The sequence below is a fragment of the Homo sapiens genome, chromosome 3 (assembly GCF_000001405.40).
Source record: "Homo sapiens chromosome 3, GRCh38.p14 Primary Assembly".
Taxonomy (NCBI): domain Eukaryota; kingdom Metazoa; phylum Chordata; class Mammalia; order Primates; family Hominidae; genus Homo; species Homo sapiens.
The window spans coordinates 41,248,867-41,270,643 of record NC_000003.12 but is presented as its reverse complement, the minus strand read 5'-3'; the positions used below and the strand labels follow the sequence as shown (position 1 = coordinate 41,270,643).

The 21,777-nt window shown below is 42.4% G+C and overlaps 1 protein-coding gene and 1 long non-coding RNA gene across 6 annotated transcripts in view, besides 1 other annotated feature; one reads left to right on the top strand and one right to left on the bottom strand.

The window, feature by feature from the left end:
• The window catches only part of ULK4 (unc-51 like kinase 4), a 715,505-nt gene that overhangs the window by 691,460 nt on the left and 2,268 nt on the right, over positions 1 to 21,777 (top strand). For all 5 annotated transcript variants that reach the window (NR_136342.2, NM_001322501.2, NM_017886.4 and 2 more), the window contains one exon: positions 21,070 to 21,155. Coding sequence is in view for 4 of the 5 variants with exons in the window: in NM_001322501.2 (NP_001309430.1) it covers positions 21,070 to 21,155 (86 nt within the window). In the remaining variant the exon portion in view is untranslated. The remainder of the gene's footprint in view (positions 1 to 21,069; positions 21,156 to 21,777) is intronic.
• On the bottom strand, positions 4,922 to 12,809 carry LOC105377046 (uncharacterized). The gene is made up of 3 exons (XR_001740666.3): positions 12,160 to 12,809; positions 10,607 to 10,779; positions 4,922 to 9,298 (listed from the first exon to the last, which is right to left on the bottom strand). It is a non-coding gene; the product is annotated as an uncharacterized LOC105377046 (long non-coding RNA).
• Positions 20,939 to 21,439: an enhancer, noted in NCBI's record as "H3K4me1 hESC enhancer chr3:41290696-41291196 (GRCh37/hg19 assembly coordinates)". NCBI's record gives its function as "activates a minimal SCP1, AML or CMV promoter by ChIP-STARR-seq in naive H9 embryonic stem cells {active_cell/tissue: H9 hESC(naive)}" and the evidence as "EXISTENCE:reporter gene assay evidence [ECO:0000049][PMID:30033119]".

The window sequence follows — 21,777 nt, the reverse complement described above, 5'->3', positions numbered from 1 at the left end:
TACAGTAAGCACTCAATACTTGTTAGCTCTTACCATTACCAGCTACTAACAGGATGTGCCTCTAAAGCCACCTTGGATCCAGAAGGTTGAACTTTAAAATGGTAATTCCTTCCCTATTGCTTGTATACCCAGAGAAAAACAACAAAAACTAAAAAAGGGATAGAGAGAAAAGGAAAAGGGCTTAAGATCTTTGTTTCTGCTTCGTGACTCTAAGGACCCAGACCCCACAAATGTGCAGGACAACTCTAGGGCCCATGGGGAGAAGAGTGGACAGTTGTGGACATACATGGAGCCAGTCAGGGGCTTGCTTCAAAGTCACAGCTCCCCAGCTGGGTTGGGAATGATGGATTGAGTACTTAGCATGACTCTCCAGCCCCAGCTCTCACACTCTTTCCTGGTTAGGGGTTTGTATCCTCCCCCGCCTGACTGTGCCGCATCACCACCTCTTTTCTCTGGACTCTGGGCCTTGTGTTTGAGCAGGTAGTTTTTATTTCATATGACAGATCGCTTTTTTTCTCTGAGTAATATCATGACCTCCAACTTTAGCTAACAACTTTGCTCATCCTTATCTTAGGCTGTATATGTCTGTTTATGCTGTGTGTGTGTGTATGTATCCTAATATGATACATATATATTCCAACTTATATAGAAAACAGTCTACTTTATAATTTTCGCACATGTCAGTTCATACTGATAATAGTATTTTCATTGCACCTTTCAACTAGAGGTAGAGTCATCACAAAGTACCAAGGGTAGCAAAAAGATGAGTCCCCAAAGAGTTAAGGATTTTCCCCAGCATCTCTTTAATTAGTCATGTGCAAGTACTTTATTGTACACTTTATTAGGTAACTTAACTTTATAAGAAATGGTAGAACCAAATGTTTACATTTGGATAACTTTAAGTTTGTACTATTGAGATTGTACTATTTATAAGGATGCTATGAAGGTCCTTCTCTTATGTAGATAATCTATATAATAATTTGTTTTTCATAAATTTGCATCTTTATACATTGTATTTCATTAAAACAACTTTAGAATCCTTATGACCTTAACTCATGTTTCATTATCATGAACCAAAGTATCTCATAATAGTAGCATCTGACTCATGGCACCATTTTGTAATGGGGTGAAATGGACTGTAGCCTCCTAATATCCTCAATTAAGGGAGCCTTTGGATCATGCTGCATTCTGCCACCTCATCCAGATGTTGGAAGACTGTGCTGTTGTACAGGACCATCAATTCCTGGAGCTCATTTATCTACCATAGGCCAGGTCTCTGCTTGTAGGATTTCCTGTAAAAGGACATGTTGAGCGATATGTGACATTCCTGCCAGCTGGGAACCTTATTCCTTTCATGGATTTGCATTGAAATTAGTAGTGAAGTTAATGGGGGTGGATGGAATTATCCATTTACAAGGGATACTTGTGAGTGATTATACCCTAAATACAAAATAGTCCTGCTCATCACACATCTTTTTGCCAGAATCCTGATATGTTCTAAAACTCATACAGAGCTAATTTCAGAGGTGTGTAATAAAGCTTGTTTCAAATTCTCACTCAAGTGGATCATATGGGGAAAAGAACTACCTGGTGACAAGTGTGTGCCAGTTAGTCAGGCTATACAGTCTCTCTTCTGGGTTGGTTGGGTCAGCGTGGCCAGTGAGCGCTTGGTCCAGGGAGCAGCTGAGGGTGGGCCTTCGCGAGCTGCATCTGAAGGCTGCTCCTTGCTGGCTCTGTAGCAGCTGTGTGGAAAGCCTTCATCTGAAGAGCTGCGTCTTTACTTTCTGGGAAGAGGGTGGAGTGTGGGGCTTTTTTTTTTTTTTTTTTTTTGTGTGTGTGTGAGACGGAGTCTTGCTCTGTCACCCAGGCTGGAGTGCAGTGTGCGATCTCGGCTCACTGCAGCCTCCATCTCCCGGGTTCAAGCGTTCTCCTGCCTCAGCCTCCCGAGTAGCTGGAACTGCAGGTGCACACCACCATTCCCAGCTAATTTTTGCATTTTTAGTAGAGATGGGGTTTCACCATGTTGGCCAGACTGGTCTCGAACTCCTGACCACAAATGATCTGCCCGCCTCGGTCTCCCAAAGTGCTGGGATTACAGGCATAAGCCACCATGCCCTGCCGAGTGTGAGGCATTTAAGGGTAGTCTGCCAGAACCTCTCTGCCTTGGGCAGCCCAGAAGGACCTTGAAGCACAAGTTCACCCTGGGACAGGATATAACCAAGTGATAGCCACTGACCCAAGTACCGCAGAAGTAAGAGTATTATGTGTTGGAAGAAAGGCTGGTCCAAGACTTCAACCTCAGGAGAGAGGAAAAGAAGGGTTTGTAGTCCAGTGGGGAGGGTGGTTAGTAACCTTTCAAAGAAAGGCATCCTGATGTAACATGAGAAGGCAACACAGCGTGACTCAGCATGGATCAGATGGTCTAGCCTATGGTTTCTCAACCTCGGCACTATTGACATTGTGAGTCAGATAATTCTTTATCATGGGGACTGTCCTGTGCAATATGGAGTGTATAGCAGCATTTCTGGCTCTACCCATTAGATGCCAGTCCACCTCCCCTTATCCCCAGTTGTGACCACCAAAAGTGTTTCCAGACATTGCCAAATGTCTCCTGGGGGTCAAAATCACCCCCAGTTGAGGAATATGAATGTGAAGTAGTCGGCTGTGCCATGAAGCCACTGAATCAAACACAGCTACAGTTGGACTCCTATTTCACGGGCTCTCTCAATCTGGTAGACATCTCAGCTACAACTGCTGACTCCTTCATTCTTTCTCAGTGTCCTTTGATGGTTGAGATCAAGGATTCGAAGTCAGGAAGACCATGGCTAGTCACTTTGCCTCCTGAGGTGACAGTTTCCTCATCTGTAAACGAGAGTAGCAGCAGGACTCATTGATCTGGTGTGGACAGGAGGAGTGCATGTTAAGGACTTTTCACTGTGGCTGATGTCAAATTAGGCTCTAAGAGTCATGCAGAATTTATAGTGGTAGGGCATTTAGAACTGTCACCTTTTTAGCATCCATCATATCCTCTATTTCAGGGTAAATGAGTGTGTCCAAGATAAGTTTTAAAGGATCTAGAATCAGAAACACCATTTGACCCAGCAATACCATTACTGGGTATATACCCAAAGGAATATAAGTCATTCTACTATAGAGACACATGCACACGTATGTTTATTGCAGTACTAGTTACAATAGCAAAGTCATGGAACCAACCCAAATGCCCACCAATGATAGACCGGATAAAGAAAATGTGGTACATATACACCATGGAGTACTATGCAGCCATAAAAAGGAATAAGATCATGTCCTTTGCAGGGACATGGATGAAGCTGGAAGCCATCATCCTCAGCAAACTAACACAGGAACAGAAGACCAAATATTGCATGTTCTCACTCATAAGTGGGAGTTGAACAATGAGAATACATGGACACAGAGAGGGGAACATCACACACCAGGGCCTGTTGGGGGATGCGGGGCAAGGGGAGGCAACTTAGAAGACGGGTCAATAGCTGCATCAGACCACCGTGGCACACGTATACCTATGTAACCAACCTGCATGTACTGTACATGTATCCTGGAACTTAAAAGCAAAAAAAAAAAAAGCCTTAAACCCCCCCCCCCCAATAGAGACACAGATTTACTCACACACACACACTTGCCACATGAGGTAGCTGGCAAGAGGGTTATATTTTCCACTTAGTGGCCACAGAGGAGCCACACCCTCCATTAGTATTGCCTTTGCTCCACATAAGTCGACTCCTAGCAAAGTGGTTTTAAGGGACCATGGAAGTAAAGGAGGCTGTTTGGATGAAGCACTTCAGTAAGAAGGAAGAATAGGAGCTCCCCCTTCACCCCTCTGTTGAAATCATTTTCTTGGTCTTAATTTATTTTCCTGCCTTTATTTAATGAAAACCTTCTAAGAATACCTTTGAATTTGAACTGGGGTTCATGAAGCACTTGTATGCTATTTACACTCTAACCCAACTGAAAACAGCCTTTTTGGATAATCTTCTTAGGCTTCCAAGAGACCTAACCTTGTATTATAAGCCATCAAGAAAAATGCAAAGAAACAATGACAAAGTCCAGCGTATTTGCAGCCAAACAGCCTGTGCGTGAGAATTCCCCCGTGGTAGCTCACCTGGACTGGGAGGGAGTCTCTCTTGGTCTCAGTGGTCTCAGTGCTCTGGGACCTTGACTCTGTGAGACCTCTCTTTATGCATCCTTCTCTGCTCTGCAAAAAAATGTGTAAGCAGAGTCTGCAGCCAGCCTGAGGCTTTTCTAGAATCAGCTTCACCCATTAGAGATTCAGTTGGACCATAGCTCTGCTGTCCTGTTCAAGTGCCCAGGGTTGCCCAGAAGGAGTGATTGCTACATGGTGGTCACAACTCCTTTGAGTCCAGGATCCCAACCCTGTCCTGCTACCTGCACCAGCCGCTGCTCTGGCTGGGCCTGTCCACAAGTATAAAGAGCAGAGGCCTGAGGAGGTTGGTCCACTCAGCCTGTCAAAGCCTTTTAGAGAGGAATATCCGGGCTCTTTGATGTTGCCCTTGGAGGCCTGGGAGACCTTGCTTCAGTTAATTTTATCTCAAGGCCGATTTGACACTTAGCCAGAAAGTTATTTCCTGTGCATACACATTCTGCTGGGTCCTGTGTGGTCCTCTGATTCACCCAGAGCAGGGGGTGTGTGGACCAGCAGATGCCTCCTGGGAGTTTTCCAAGCCCCTACCACACACATAGCTACTTGTCACCACCAAGCTGTGCAGAATGGATGCTTTTGGGTCAGCTGACAGTGGACCTGTCTCTTGGAGGTAAAAACCCACAGATTTCACGATTCCCTTCCCTTCTCCTGGAGCCAGACTCTCAAAGGCTTCGCAAAAAACGTCCTCAAAGCTGTGGCCCTGCCTTAGGGAGGGAAGGGTGAGATCTCTCAAAGGGGCTGCTCATTTTCTGAAAACGGTCATTATAAAATGTTTCCAAATGGAGTCGGTATTTGATCAAGTCCCTCAACAAAAATAACAGCCACCATGGGAATTTTCAGCTGTCCAGTAGTCAATATCAGGCCTAGATTTTGATTAATTGGTGCCTGACGGCTTTAATAATGTAAACCAAGTGTGCTTCAATTTTCCTTTCCATTTTATTTTCCTCCCAATTTTATTAATTTGAAGGAATTTTGGCGGCCCCTAATGTTTCATTAGAGAGCCACAGAAGTATGAGGTGAAGTCTGGAGGACAGAGCAAATGACTGAGTTTGCGTGGCCCTACCAGCTGTTTCCAGTGGGTGCCCAGCTGCACTCCGCCTGGCTGTGACTCATGCTCAGCAAGGGCCCGAGGTGACGGTGTGTCTCACAAACGTGGCTGCCCTCAGTCCTAGGAAGCATGCAGATCATTCTCAGAGCTGGCCACCTTGGGTTCACACTTTGGCTGGCCGTGGCCCCCTGTGGCCGTGGATCTGAGATGGTCCCCTACCTGCCCTCCTGACTGAGGCTCGGTGCCCAGTCCAGGCTGAGGATTCTGCAGTGCTGGCCCAGCCTCCACTCTCCAGGCCTGGCCACCTCGTGTCCCAAAGTCGTGGAGTCCTTCTGTCCTGCCTTATAAATCCCAACTTGATGCCTCTGGAGTTCTTTATGGTGGTTTCTCTGAGGGCCTGTGGGGATTAGGTCTTAGGCCCCAGCCCTGTGCCCTGTCACAAGTCTCCCTTCCACACTGGGGATTCACTGCAGCAGAGGTGTTTTTGCTCAGTAGAGCATGTTATTAAGGGCAGAAATTACAGCTGGCCATAACTGACTGACTTTTTCCTCCAGTTGTAACATGAGTTTCAAGGAGAGGCTGAAGACTTCACGTAAAAATTCCACCATGTATTAAAAGTTACCAAAAAATAGAATGCTCATCTAATATAATCTGTTGAAGAGATTGCTTATAATTGTCGATTAATCCATCTCCTTCCAAATCAGAGAATATGTAATCATATTGCCCATTTTCAAATGGAAACTCTTTTTTTCCCCTTCTTTGAAGAGTACTTGAGTGACTTTATTTCTGATAGGAATCTCACAGGTTCTGTTTCCATATGGTTGATGAGGCAGACTCTTCTCCTGTTTGCTCAGAATGGGACTATTTCAGCATTTAGCCCTACAAGAGAGGGTCTAAAATGCGTGGCTTATGTGGCATGCCCACCCCAACAGCCACCTGCTGGCTCACACCTCCACCAAGGCACTGCTTCTGCCACTGAGGACAAAGGGCCACACGGCATCTTACCTCTGCTCAATTGAAGGGTCATTGGAAGGCAGGGGAGGAGGCACTGTGTCAGCGTGGTTAGGGATCTGGCGCTGGCATGTGAGTTCCTGGATGTTGTGCCTCATCCTGTTGCCTCTCACCTGGACCATTCCCAAAGTCCCTCCTAACTGGCTTCTGGCTTCCAGCTGGTCCCTGCTTCTGCAACCTTTAAAAAATCTCTGCCTCACCTGTTCCCACTTCAGGCCTTCATGGTTGCTGCTATCACCCCTTTTTACAATATAAGTCCCTCACATGTTCTCATGGCTGGTTCTTTCTCATCATTCTACCCTTGGCTTATGTGTCACCTCCTCAGGGAGACTGTCCTGGCTGACCTCACACCATTGTTCTTCTCTCCCCTCCTTTACTTTCTTCATGACACCTATCAGCATCTCAAATTATTGTATTTGTTTACTTTTTAATTGTGTTTCTCAAGGTGGAAGCTCTGACTTGACACCCGGCACCCCCTGCTATTTCTCCAGAATCTAAACAGAGTCCAACACATAGGTGCTCAATACACACTGTCCTATTGACCATAGAATCATGCTAATATTTGTAGGATCCTTTACAGTTGCCAAAAGAGCTTTTCATGTGTATGCATCTCATGTGTGATTGTGATTGCTTTTCTGCCCACCTTTGACTAGACTGAGGGCCTTGGGTGTGAGGATTTGGTGGCACTTTCTTACGACACTGGAGGTCTCAAATTCAGGATGTATGATATTTATTGCATATCCTTGCAGTCATGGTCCATGCATGTTTTTATATTGTGTGTTTTTTTACTTTATATTATGAGTATTTTCCTGATTGTCCCTATGTATAGTGGCTGAATCACTGCAGAGTGGTTTAGTGGCTGATAGTATCCTTACCTTGTCGAGTGAGGAACTGGGGAAAGAAGGAAGCTGTGGGCTTTTTTAGCCAAGTTGACTTGACATGGCTCTACTTTGCTTCCCTCCATCCAGTGGGAGGTTCAGAGAAGGGGCTGGAAACAGGCCCTGTTAAGCTCTTTCTCTTATCTCCCTCCCGTTTCCCACCTCAGAGCCCTCCCTATCACACAAACACTCTCAACACAAAATCAGTGACTCTGTTGTCAAATACACAGCTCACTATGACCCCATATAGCATTCCTAAGGACTGGTTAGTATTTGCTTGGATCAGGTTTGCGTGATAGATACACTGTTCCTCACTTCTTATGACCGAAGCTATCCCACTTTGGTTACCACCCCAAGTATTTTTTCTTGTGAGGAAATAATTCCAGCCACATCCATAGTTGACATCCTCATGCCAGTGCCTTAGAAATCTATGCTCTCGTGCTTTTCTAAGTGCTTGGTTTGGGTCCTCCTGGGCAAAACGGTAGTCCTGATCCTGTATTTCACCAGAACTTACTTTGGGCCAACCTCCCATTTATTTTTATATCTACAAAAAGTCCACATCATAATTTTTTGCCAATTAAAACTGTGTCCTCACTTATTTTGGAACTGGCTGTTGTAGTTAGTTAGTTGGATCAGGCCTAAAAGACTTCCCAAAGCAGCTATATTATATTCAACATTTTAGACTTATGGGACTTAATGGCCAGAAACTGATGTAATTATGAACAGTTTCTAAGCAATAAGGGCATTTTTACTGCCCTGCAGAGAGCTGAGAGAACTGGTTGGCCTAAAATGAAGAAAGGAGGTAGCTATGGATAATTTTCTCTTAGAAAATAATCATGTCTTATGGGGTGAAAAAGAAAAACATTCAAATCCTCCGCATGTTACTTCTGTAGCCTCTAGACTTGGCAGGTGCCCACAGGTACAGAGAGGAGTTTGGGCAAGAGAGGTGAATGGAGGTGTCAGGCTAAGTTAAGGGAACATACAGACCCCAGGAGGAGGAAATAAAGGTCAAGAGAAAGAAGAAAGTCCTTCAACACTGCTTTGCTCTCACCAAAGTGTGCCCTTTGATCATTCAAACGCTAGCTTACCATCATCCTCCTTTGCACGCTGCATCTCCAAATCTGGAAATGTCAGTGGAAAGGAGCAGTGTTCCTTACTTTGACCCCAGTTTGAGAGGCTTCTGTCTTAAATACAGGCCAAGCTATTTCCTTGGGAACCTGGGCCCCTGGAAGCTGGGACTAGCTCCCCCCATGGCAGAATGTCAGCCTCCTCACTACTCATGGAAATGTCAACTCCCGGCTTCCCCAGTTGGACACCGGCCCTGTCTCTCGCCTGGTGCTCCTGCAGCCACACCCTTCATGGGGAGAGGCAAAGGGCAACATGGTGACTGGGGCAGGAAGCAATGGAGGGAAGGCAGAGCAACAATGGGGTGGGATGCAGGAGAGAGCTGCCCAATCTGGGCCTCCATCCCAACTCCACTACTAATCACCGCCTCACCCTGTCTCTAACGTGTGATCATGGAAGATGTTCCTCATAGGGTCACTGTGAAGAGAACATGAGATAATGGCCCACAGTGGCTACCCAGCAAACTGTTGATTCACTTCTCATCACCAGCAAAGACGGACCTCCATCTAAGAGCGCCAGGAGAGATGTGCAAAGCCTTTGGTAGCCAAGCCTGAAAGAAGTTGCCAAAAGTATGGTGCTCTCCATATCAGGAACAGCTTACTGGACAGTACACAGGATCCACAGACTCCTTTGGTCAAGAGCAACAACTTCCATTTCCATCTGGGAGAGAGATTCTGCGGTTCCTGCTTTGCCTGGAAATGATGAGGATGAGCAACAATGACTGGGGGAGCAAAGGGCGCTATGCAATTTACAAGAGATGGCCGGCAGAGCAGTGCAAGCCATTTATACAAGATAACACAACATGTAGGCAGTGGGGCTAGAAACACGGCTTAGTCAGTTGCTTACTTTTTTAAATCAGCCAATCAGCCAACAACTTTGCCAGGTACTTAGTGGCAGATGTGAAGATGCCGTGGTCTCAAGGGATGAGTGTGGATCTTGAAGTTGAGGGGACTGGGTTAAATCTCAGTGCCACTGCTTGCTGGCTAGCTGACCTTGGACAAGTCACATGAGCCCTCCTAGCCTTCATTTTCTCATCTGTAAAGTGAGCACAGTTAATACTTGTTTTTCAAGTTGTCAAAAAGAAAATTATATGTTTGAAAGCAGTTAACTCTATTCCTGAATATAGTAGGTGCTCAGAAATGTTAATTTCCTTTCTTGACGCAAATCCCAAGCCGTTTTACTCCAAGGCTTTTTACTTATTTAATCCTATAGGTAAAAGTGAATCCAACAGTTTCTACCTGAAATCTGGGTTTTGTCAACTTTGCCCCCGCACATCTACTAATGCCCTGTGTACTCCCCTCTCCTACCCGGTTTGTCTGGAGTACACCACATGGAGACTCATCGCTGCCCTTGAACAAGAGGTCATCTGCTGTTTTCTTCCTTTCCTCTCCCAGCTTCCTTCACCTTGAGGAATCACTGTATTCCAGATGCCACCACTTCCTCAGGCCTCAGTATGCTTGGGGCCTCCCAGTGAGCTAAAGCAAAGCTGTGCTTCATGCAGAGGGTGACAGACCGCCTCACATAGTGGTCCTCCTGGACAGAAACATGGTGCTGCTTATGCTCCAGTACTGTTCCAGGTGTTTAGTGCAATATCTCTGTCACCCTCCAGAGAATCTGCATTCATGGGGACCTGGGTCAAATCTAGGGGAGCAAGCCTTTGTGACTGGGCCTACCTCTTCTGTAAGACCCTGCCTCTTCCCTTGAGTTCCAACTGTTACCCCCTTACCCTTGGTGATCAGCAGATGCACTGATGGGAATCCTTAGGGACACCTCTAGATCTCTTTCAGATGATCCCCCGCTTACTAATCATGGACAGGGCCTCACTTGCTTTTGCTAAGGTACATAAAGTTTCCAAATGGACTCCAGGGAAGGCACGGATGCTGTGAGGCAGCTGGAGGCCATGCATGAAAATTATTCCATTCAGTCTCAGATTTACTCAGCATCCCATGGAAGGTGTGATGAGCATATGGGCCTGGATGCAGAGCAGGATGTGTTAATATGGACTTGCTTTAATCTGAATATGAAAGGTGAGACCCTGGCAGCAGCTCAGGATGCTTCTGGAAGGACCCAGAATGCACACTGCAACACCAGGTAGAAAATGAAGGCGGGCCTGCCAGATTGCATCATGCCGACGAGAGGTTCTCCTCCAGATTCCATCCTGGCATCAGGTGGCAAGAGGGTGGCCTGTCTCTATGAGCAGTTGGGAGAAATGGCTTTGAAGTAGCATGAAAACCCCAGCTGAAGAGAAGACAAAGTGTACATTAAGAGAACAAAATGAAGGGGCTGGATGGATAGGTTTATTTTTGAAATTTAAACTCTCTGAAGTAAAGTTATCATAGTTACCTGCTTGTTTTTACTTGTATTTATGAGATCTGAAGGCCACAGAATTAAAATAATCCTCCCCTGTGTGAAGTGTGTGTCTGTAATAACAAGCACCAAGAAGCACCTGGGCTGCTCTCACTGTGTCAGCTTCATCTCCTGATATTTTTTTTCTAGTCTGTCAGTGTTGCCTGGGCCTGTTGAGAGGAACTCATGATTAGAAAGCAAAAGTTAACTGGACTTCCTTTTGCCACACACATTCAAGATCACTACAGATATTGACATATATTATTGCACACTCATAAACAAAGTACCACAGCATGCCCATACCTTACTCAGTTACAGCCACATATCTCTCCACACCAAAAAACATTTACAAATACAGAAGGCTGCACTGGAGCATTTTACAAGCTTTAGGAGGAGGATGATGCTGTGAGTCATATTTGTGAGCATAAATTCCTGATGTGCCACGGTGATAGAAAATAGAAGTTCTGGTTTGCTTGTTTTTTAAGGCCTTAGATGAGGAGTATAGGCACCAGTCTTAGATTTGTCCCTCAATGGCCACTTTGCCTTGGGCAAGCCATTGTTTTCTCTGTTCTCACATCCTCTCCTGCAAACTGAAGAGGCTGCCAACTTCAGGGTTCTGCCATTATCAGGGGGCATAGGATGGCTCCACTTGCTAGTTTGTATTTGGGGAAGCTGAAATCCAGAGAAGAGCCAACCCAAACTGTGTACTGCAGGGTGTTGTGTTTAAAACCACTACTTTACAATTCATGAGCCTAGTGGAGAATTTGAAGATGATTCTGTAGGACACTACCATCTCCTTTCAATATTTGGGTGAATGCTGGATTGACACAGTGCCATGTTAAAGTGACCATAGCAGAGTTTGCATAAAATTATGTATTTATCCCAAGTGTGTTATCTGATTTTATATATATATATATACACATATATACATATACATATATGTATATATATCATCAGATGTATATACACATATACATATACATATATGTGTGTATACGTATATATACACATAGATATGTATATATGTATACATATGTATATATGTATATCTGTATATATATACACATATATGTATATATATATATTCAACAGATGTAGAGGAATTGTCTTTCCAAGTTTATCTTAATTCTAAGCTCAAATTCCCAATTATTTTATGATTTTTCCTTTAAAGACCCCATGTTTTGAAAATTACCTGTCTACCAGGTGAAATTTATGTATTTAGTATAATTCATGTTTCCATTTTGATTGATTTTAGCCATTTAGCTACCAGGCAGATGTCTTAGCAGCATGAGATAATGGCTGGCACTCCAGGTTTGGCTGATATATTTTCATCATAAAGCAGAGAAATGTGAGGCAGGCATGACTTTGTTTGCAGGAAATGGATGCCTGCCATTTGATGTTTTGAAATATTGAAATCCACTCATGGACTCACAGGTCCAGGAACCTCTGCTATAGTACATTATTGCAAAATAAAATTGAGTTAGCCTGTCTTGGCTAACTGACTGCCAGTAATGAAAATGTTAACTTTGGGAAGAAGGTATTGTGCTTACACTCTTCGCTGGCGTTCTCTTGCATTATTTTCTTAGTGTCGCTGGAATACTCCCTCTTGACGTCTGTAATCACAGCCAGGATAAGTTCACCAATAGTCTCTTAGTCATGAATTCAGCATCACAGTAGACAAGGGTCACTTTGACTCCTACTTCCTTCAAAATGGAGAGGAGATTTCTTTGTGGGTTTCAGTTTGCACAAAACATTCTCTGCCTAAGTAGCTCAAAAGAGGAGTAGGTGGGATGACTTTTGAGTGGACCCATAATTTGGTTTTTGAAGAAAATTAAGGTACTGAGAAAATAGAAGGTTAAAGGCCACATAGTCCAGCAGATACAGTGGAATCTAATGTTTCTAAAAGAGGGCTGGTTCCTATCTTAATTTACAACCTTCAGCGGCCTAAGAGGACACTCAACTCTGGGAGACAGAAGCAGTCCACTCCCAAGGATCATTCATTTCAGAGCCCCTTGAAATCCTCTTATCACGGGCATTACCAGCTATAGAAAATGGTTTGGTATCATAGTATACAATAATTTAGCAAGGTAAATTCAAACTCTTATTGTTTCAAAAATTACTCAGATTTATTTTTTACTAATATCTCATTCTAAAAATCAAATCAGACTCTATAAGTCTGATTGCATTCCAAGTAATGCATGACGACTTCCTTGTTTTTCCATTTCACTGTTGAAGGACAGCTTGGTTGCATCTACATTTTAGTGATTATGAATAAAAGTGTGAAGGATTTTGAATACAGGTTTTTGTGTGGACATAAGTTTTCAATTCACTTGGGTAAATATCCAAGAGTGCAATTGTTTGGCCATATGGTAGGACTATGTTTAATTTTTTTTTTTTTTTTTGAGACATAGTCTCACCCTGTCACCCAGGCTAGAGTGCAGTTGCTTGATCATGGCTCACTGAAGCCTTGACCTCCCAGGCTCAAGCGATACTTCCATTTCAGCCTCCCAAGTAGCTGGGACCAGGTGTGCACCACCACACCCAGCTAATTATTATTTATTTCGTTGCAGAGATGAGGTCTCACTATGTTGCTGGGGCTGGTCTTGAACTCCTGGGCTCAAGTGATTCACCTGCCTTAGCCTCCCTAAGTTTTGGGATTACAGGTGTTAGCCACTGTGTCTGGCCTGTATGTTTAGTTTTATAAAGAACTGCCAAATCGTCTTCCAAAGCACTGTTCCATCTTGCATTCACATCAGCAATAAATGAGAACTGCTGTTATTCTTCATCCCTACCAACATTGTTATTGTCAGTGTTATGAATTTTAGCCATTCTAATAGGTATTGCACTGCAGTTTTAATATGCATTTCCCTAATGACAAACAACGTTGAGTTATCTTTTCTTATTTGCCACCCATATATCTTCTTTCTGATGTGTCTATTCAGATTTTCTACCCATTTTAAAAACTAGGCTGGTCGTTCTCTTATTATTGAATTTGACGAGTTCTTTTTAGCTGGGCATGGTGGCCTCCATCTGTAATCCCAGCCAAGGTGAGAACCAAGAGGCCAAGCAAGAAGATTGCTTGAGCCCAGGAGTATGAGGTTACAGTAAACCATGATCACACCACTGCACTCCAGCCTGGGCAACAGAGACCCTCTTTCTAAAAATAATATTTTTAAAGAGTTACTTTTATGTTCTTGATATAAGTCCTTTATCAGATATGTAAGTTGCAAATATTTTCTCCAAGTCTATGGCATATCTTTTCATTCTCTTATGTTTTCAAAAAGTAAAGTTTTTAACATTGACGAAGTCCAATTTATAATTTTTTTAAGGGATTATGTTTTTATGTTAAAAACTCATCACCAAATCTAAGGTCACAGAATTTCTTCCATATTTTCTTCTAGAAGTTATATAGTTTTTACATTTTACATTTAGATCCATCATCCATTTAAAATTACATTTTATATAAGATGTAAAATATATGTCTAGGTTGATGTTTATGCATATGCGCATCCATTTGTTCTAGCACTGCTTTTTCAAAACACTGTTCTTCCCTCCTTGAATTAACTGCACCTCTGTCAAAATTTTAACAATAATTTGTGTAGTTCTGTTTCTGGGCTCTGTTGTCTATTCCATTATCTGTGTGTCTGACCTTCTGCCAGTACCACATTGTCATGGTTGCTGGAATCATGTAGTGCCTCTTAAAGTTGGGTAGTATGATGGCTAAATTTTATTCTGCTTTTTCAAAATTATTTTACCTGTTCTGGCTCCTTTGCCTTTCCATTGCAAATTTTAGAGTCAGTTATTCTTCACTTGATCTTAGCCAAAAGGCCAAGAAGCAATAGACTCAGCTATTCTATATTACAAAGATTTCTGCTGAGATTTTGATAGGAATTTCATTAGACCTATATTTTGGAAGAAATTTTTATTATATTGAGCCTTCCAATCCTTGAATATTGTGTATCCATTTATTTATTTTCTTTCGTCAGCATTTTACAGTTTTTACTCATAGAGATCCTGATATATTTTATCAGATTTATACCTTTGGAATTTGTCAGGACTTGCCTTAAAGACCCAGCAGATGGTATATTTTGGAAATTTTCCATATGCACTTGAAAAGAATATATATTCTGCAGTTTTTAGATGATTTTTTATATAAGTGAATTAAGTCAATTCTGTTACTCTTGTTGTATAGAACCTGTGTGTCCCCTCTGGTTTCTGTATGCACATTGCTGGAAGAGATTGAAAAGTATGTCACCATGATTGTGGATTTATGTAATTCTCACTTTAATTCTGTCATTTTTATTTGTTTGTTTTATATATTTTGAGGCTGTGATCAGGAGCACACAAATTTAGAATTGCTGTATCTTCCTGGCCAATTTATTTTCTTATAAATATGAAATGTCCCTCCTTACCTCTAGTTACGATTATAGCCTTAACGTCTACTTTATCTGGTATTAGCTATGCCAACTTTCTTGGGTTACTGTTAGCATGTCATATCTTTTTCCATCCTTTAACCATCAACTGTTTGGTGCCCTTATTTATTTATTTTTTGAGATGGAGTTTCGCTCTTGTTGCCCAAGCTGGAGTGCAATGGCACGATCTCAGCTCACTGCAACCTCCGCCTCCCGGGTTCAAGTGATTCTCCTGCCTCGGCCTCCCAAGTAGCTGGGATTATAGGCTTGTGCCACCATGCCCAGCTAATTTTTTTTATTTTTAGTAGAAACGGGGTTTCACCGTGTCAGCCAGGCTGGTCTCAAACTCCTGACCTTAGGTGATCCACCCACCTCGGCCTCCCAAAGTGCTGGGATTACAGGCATGAGCCACCGCGCCTGGCCTTGGTGCCCTTATATTTAAAATATATTTGTTATAAGTACTGTGTGTGTGTGTGTGTGTGTGTGTGTGTGTAGCCATAATTTATATATTACAGATGTATATAATTATATATAAGAGATATGTTTTATTTTGTTTATATACAGCTTGAAATCTTTTACTTGGAGCATTTGGTAAATCTACATTTAATGTAAGTATTGATATTTTAGGGCCTACATTTACCACATTCCTCTTAATGTTTGCTCTTGTTTTCTTCCCAGTTTGGGTTTGTTTTGCTCCTTTTTTTCCTAGTTTCTTCTTTTTTTTCTTTTCTTTTTTTTTTGAGATGGAGTCTCGCTCTGTCACGCAGGCTGGAGTGCAGTGGCATGATCTCTGCTCAGTGTAACCTCTGCCTCCTGGGTTCAAGCAATTCTCCTGCCTCAGCCTCCTGAGTAGCTGGGATTTACAAGCACCCTCCACCACGCCTGGCTAATTTTTCTATTTTTAGTAGAGACAGGGTTTCACCATGTTGGCCAGGCTGGTCTCAATCTCCTGACCTCAAGTTATCCGCCCTCCTCAGCCTCCCAAAGGGCTGGGATTACAGGTGTGAGCCACCGCGCCCGGCCCTTTTTTCCTAGTTCCTTGATGTAGAAGCTTAAATTATTGATTGATTAGGAACATTTCTTCTTTCCTAAAATAAGTATTTAGTACTATAGATTTCCCTCTAAGCATTGCTTTAGCCCCCTTCCAGATGCTGACATGTTGTATCAAGGTCATTTTCATTCAGCTAAGATTATTTTCTAATTTTTCTTGGAATGTCCTCTTTAACCCTTGGATTATTTAGGAGTGTGCTGTTTAATTCCAAGTGATTGAAAATATTCCTGTTATCTTGGTTATTAATTGCTAGTTTAATTCCATATGGTCAGAGAATATATTTTATATGGTTTCAATTTTTTTAAATGTGTTAAGATACGTTTTATGACACAGAATACTGTATACATTTGTAAGTATTCCTGGATTCTTGCAATATATGTGAATACTGTTGTTGATGGGATCAGTGATCTACAAATGTCAATAGGATTCATGTGGTTGATGGGGTTCCTCAGTTCTTCTGTATCCGTGCTGATTTTTGTCTACTTATCCTGTTTCTTATCATGAGAGGAGTTTTGAAATCTCCAACTACGATTGTGGATTTATCTGTTTTCCTTTTCAGTTGTATCAGTTTTTGCTTTCTGTATGTGTAATTTCTACTGTTAGATGTATACACATTTATTGTTATGTCTTCTTGGTTACAAAACCCTTTAATCAAAATATGTCCCTGGTAATTTTCTTTGCTCTGAAGTCTACTTTGCCTGACATTACTATAGCCACTCTAGCTTTCTTTTGATTTATGTGTGCATGGTATATCTTTTTTCATCCTCTTACTTTAAACCACTATCTCATTATATTTGAATTAAGATTCTTACACACAATAGATGGTTGGATCATTTCTAAAAATCATTCAGGAGATTTCTTACTTGCTGCATTTAGATCATTTACATTTAATGTAATTCTTGGTATGTTACAATGTAGTTTGCCTTTTTATTTGATTTCTGATTAGGTTCAGTGTTTTTATTTCCTCACTTTTCCTTTTCCGGCTTTCTTTTAAGCTATTTGAACATTTTTAATATTAAATTTTAATTTATCTGTTGTGGGTTTTTTTTTAAATTACATCTCTTTGTATAATTTTTTTAAGTGGTTGCTCTTGGAGTTATAAAATACTTAACTTTTTAGAGTCTACTTATGACAATATTTTACCACTTCAAATGGAACATAAAAGCCTTACTACCATATAGGTTCCTTTGCTCTCCCCCATCTTATTATGTTCCAGCTGTCTTATATGTTACATCTACATATGTTGAAAACCCCATCAATACAATATTATATGTATTTTTTCTTTTCTACTATTAAACAGCTTTTAAAGAAAGATAATATCCTGTTATATTTACCATTTTTATTGCTCTTCCTTCATTCCTGATGTTCCAAGTTTCCTTCTGGTGTTATTTGCTTTCTCTCTGAAGAACTTCCTTTAGTAAATTTTTTATAGCAGCTCTGCTTCTATTAGTTTTCATTCATCTGAAAATATCTTTATTTCACCTTCATTCCTAAATAATATTTTGAAACTATGATATCATTTCTGAATGATATCTTCTAGGTATATAACTTTAGTTTGGTAGTTCATTTCATTTAGCATCTTAAAATCTAATGGCCTCAGTAGTTTCAGATGAGAAATTCACAATAATTCAAATTATTGTTACCCTATAAGTAATATATCATTTTTTTTTCTGCCCACTTTCAACATCCTTTGTCTTCAGCAAGTTTGATTTTGATGGATTTGGTTATGGATTTCTTTGGGTTTAATCTTGTTTGGGATTTACTGTTTCTTGAATCTGTAGATTTATTTCTTTGAGCATGTTTTGGAATAGTTTTAGTCATGATTTCTTCAGATACTTTTTCATTCATTTATTCTCTGTCCTCTCATTCTGGAACTCCAATGACAAAAACTTATTGCTATTGTCTCATAGGTCCCTGAGGTGCTGCTCATTTGTGTTCTCAATCTTTTTTTTTTTTTTTTTTCAATCTCTGCTGCTGAGATTGGATAATTTCTATTGATCTATCTTCTTCAGGTTCACTGACTCATTCCTTTTATTGTCTCCATTCTGCTATTGAGTCTATCCAGTGATGACTTTAAATTTAAATTTGTGGTTATTATGTTTTTAGTTAGAAAATTCTCATTTGGTTCTTCTTTGCTATATTCTCCTTTTTTACTGATATATTCTATTGTAATACTTGTTTCAAGAGTGTTAGTGATTGTTTTTAGCATTTTTATAATAGCACTTTGAAGTCTTTGTCAGATAATTCCAACATATGTCATTTTGTTTATTGTCCTCTGTTGATTGTCTTTTTTCATGTCAGCTGAGATTTTATGGTTGCTTTTGCCAAGTAATTTTGAATTGTATCCTGGTCATTAAAAATATTACATTATAAGACCCTGTCTTGTTAAATACTACAGAGAATATTGATATTTTTGTTTTAGCAAGCAATCATGCTGATTAGGTTCAGGCTGCAGGTTGGAATTGTAATTTCAGTGTCATATTGGTTTCACAGGTTTTGCAGTGCTATGTGCATCTATCTGGTGTGTCCCTCCCCAGGGGTCAGTCTGGGATGTGAGCAGAGATATATTTGTTACCTCAGTTCTTCAATTCTGGGGCATGCTATTGGGATCGGTTCCATGCATACACAGGTTGGGGGTGAGGCCAAGAGTTCATAAACAGTTTTATGGAGTAACTTTACTAAGCTCTTCTTGATTCATTCTCTCCCCAGTACTTTCTGGTTCTCTGGGTTTCCCATTTTTTATCTGGCCTAAAACTGCCTAGTTCCATGATTATGCAACATCCAGGCCAAACACTAGGAGAACAGAGAAAGAATAGAGATCTGGTTGCAGGCTCCTCTTGCTGGCTATTGTTGCTGCCACCTCTGTCCCCACTACCACTGCTGCCATCACAGAATGGCCTGGGACACAAGAGGATGGAGAAAAAAGAGCAAAGCAATCTTGAGGGGGTTTCATCTACTCTCTAGGGTTTTGGGGATTTCCCTTCTCTATTCCTCAAGCTGGGTTTCTTCTAGGGCTTTTGGGGTTTGGGTTTGTTGCATCCAGGCTAAGAAAGAAGTGGTAAACTCACTGCCAGTTCAGTGGTGCTTTGAATTCAGTGTCCTCTCCTATTTACCTGTTGCTGTTTGCTTTTCAGTGTTCTGAAATAGCTGCGCTGTAGATTTGCATCCAGAGGGAGAGAAAGAGTGTCATGTGTTTTCTCTGTCTTACGCAGAACTGGAACCTCTGATTGATATAATTTAAAATTTTTATTTTTGAATTAACTCATCCTTATATACAGAACAACAGCTGATGTTATGAATAAGAGTCAGGTAAATGGCCAAACCACGTAGTTTTCAATTGGCGTTGTTTATGTCTACATTTATGTCAGCTACACATGATACCATTTTGGCATCTTCCTTTGATCACATAACTGTCACTGTAGATTTCTATTTGCACCTTCTAACCAGCCTTGTGGATGAAAGTCATCTTCTGATTTATTTGCAACTTGTGGGTGATTTCCTGGGAGCACAGCCTCTGCACACAATCTCATGGCAGGGCTGGTCGGGGCACTGAGCCTGGATGTAGTCAGCTGACCTGTTTGAGGCAGTTCTGAGAAAAATGAAGTGGGAATCCTCACTGAAGACGCCTGATGGGGAGTGTACCTTCAGTGTAAGTTTATGCATACTTCAGACATAATTGAACTACAGCTGGCATTTTTAAGCAGTAGTCTTTTGAACACATCAAGTTGGGTGCAATTTCAGAACAAATTTACATGCAGCTCTTCCGAGATGCAAATCTTTGCAGAAATCACACCTGATGCAGTTGAACTGGCAGCTGTTCTCTGGCATACTCAGGAAGGTGGGAGAGGATCTCAGTGGAGGTGCGAATGCATTCATATATAATTCAGAGTTCATGTTAATGTTTAGTTACCCCTGTGACCTATCATGAGTGGTTGATTAAAAAATGTTGAGCCTCTTAACTAAGGAGACAATAATCCAGCCTCGGTTGCTGTGATCAAAGTCAGCTGAAGCCATCCTGGTTCCACCTTCGTGGTGGGGAGACAGTCTGGCTCCGTGTGGACTCCTGTAGCAGCCCCTTAATTTCAGCTTTGGTTACCTCATAAATAAAACATGATATATACTTACCTTGTAAGGTAGGCTGTTGAGAAGATTAAATGAGAAAACATATAGGAAACAGCATTCTGAAATGTAAAGTGCCATACAAGCGTTTATTACAAGAAATTTTAAACTAACAAAGATAACAATAGGAGGCAACGGTGAATTAAGAGAAGCAAGTCTAATAGTAGAATCAAAGCCTTCTCTTCTCTGCCTTTCAGGACATGGACTCATTTTATGGAGGGTCTGAATTGTGAGGTCTCTGGGTGGGTCTAGAATTGTGGGTCTAGATAAATCCCCACCTGAGCCTATTCTAGCCCTGAGAGTGTATGATTCTGCAAATAGGTGCTACAGAGTCAGGCATGCCCAAGTGTTTTTCTCATAGGACTGTGGCGATTAGCATGGGCACACTTCCTGGGGTTTAGTTATTAATGCCTCTCTCCCAGGTCCCCAGGCACCTTCTTGGCATCCTTCTATCCACGTGAAAGAGATCATGTTGGGCTGAGAGCCCCAAAGACAGATTTCCAGTTGCTAGCCAGGCCTCTTGAGTCCCAGCACAGAAAAAGTAGTTTTGCTTTAATTGGAAAGTTCAGGTTCCCAGACACAAACTCTCCTGAGAGATCCGCAGGAGGCTCCCTGCCCTGAACTGGCCGTCTTCTGCCCCAGCAGACTGCCTTGTCCCCTCCCCTGAGGACCACCAGTGTCCTGCCTCTTTCCCCTTGGTCAGCAACACTCTGTGGGGGAGGTTACGCATGGGGGTTACAGACAAGCCCAGGGGACACCCCCCAGTGCCTTAGGCAGCCACAGCACCATGCAGGCCTGATACTCAGGGTGCCCATCCAACAGGGCATGAGTCAGGGACGGGTCAGCTGACCACTGTCTTCTTCCTCCTGCCCTTGCAGATCACCTCCAATGAGAAGCACTTGGAGAGCCTCAAGAATGCAGGCAGCCTCCTGCGGGCTCTGGAGCGGCTGGCCCCTGGGAGTGGGTAAGTGGGACCCAGGAGGATCAGCAGTCTGCTCTAGATCAGCACACACTCTCAGCCATTCCTTTCTCCACTCCTCCCACTCATCTCCCTCCACACCAGGGACTACCACCTTCCAGCCCATCACTGTCCACTGAGATCCTTCCCAGTGTGGGAAGGGAAGCTCTGCCACTCCACACACTGGGAATCCCCAGTTATGGTGGGGAAAGTGAGGGGACAGGAATCAACAGGGGGAGAGAAAGTCTTAGTCCTGCCAGGGGAAACAATATTCCCACCTTGAGGCCCCTGAAGAGGTTGAGTGGATGACCAAGTGGGAGATGCAAGGAACCTCATGAGAAAGGCAGCCCCTGGCCTGTGCACACATGCCCCCATCAGCAGCCCAGCCAGAGGCATCCTCATCACCACCTTGTGGAGGACTCAAGGCCCAGGCAGGGCTGGGGCAAATGTGACAGCTTAGCCTGCTCTGCTGCACCAGGTTACCTTCCTCAGCCAGAAGTTCAGAGGGACCACACAGAACTGCGTATTTGACACCCGGAAGCTGACAGCATGGGGTTAGGCTAGCCTCCCAGTCCTTGGCTGTACAGTCAGTGTGTCTAGAACATCCTAGAAGTGAGTTCCACAGACC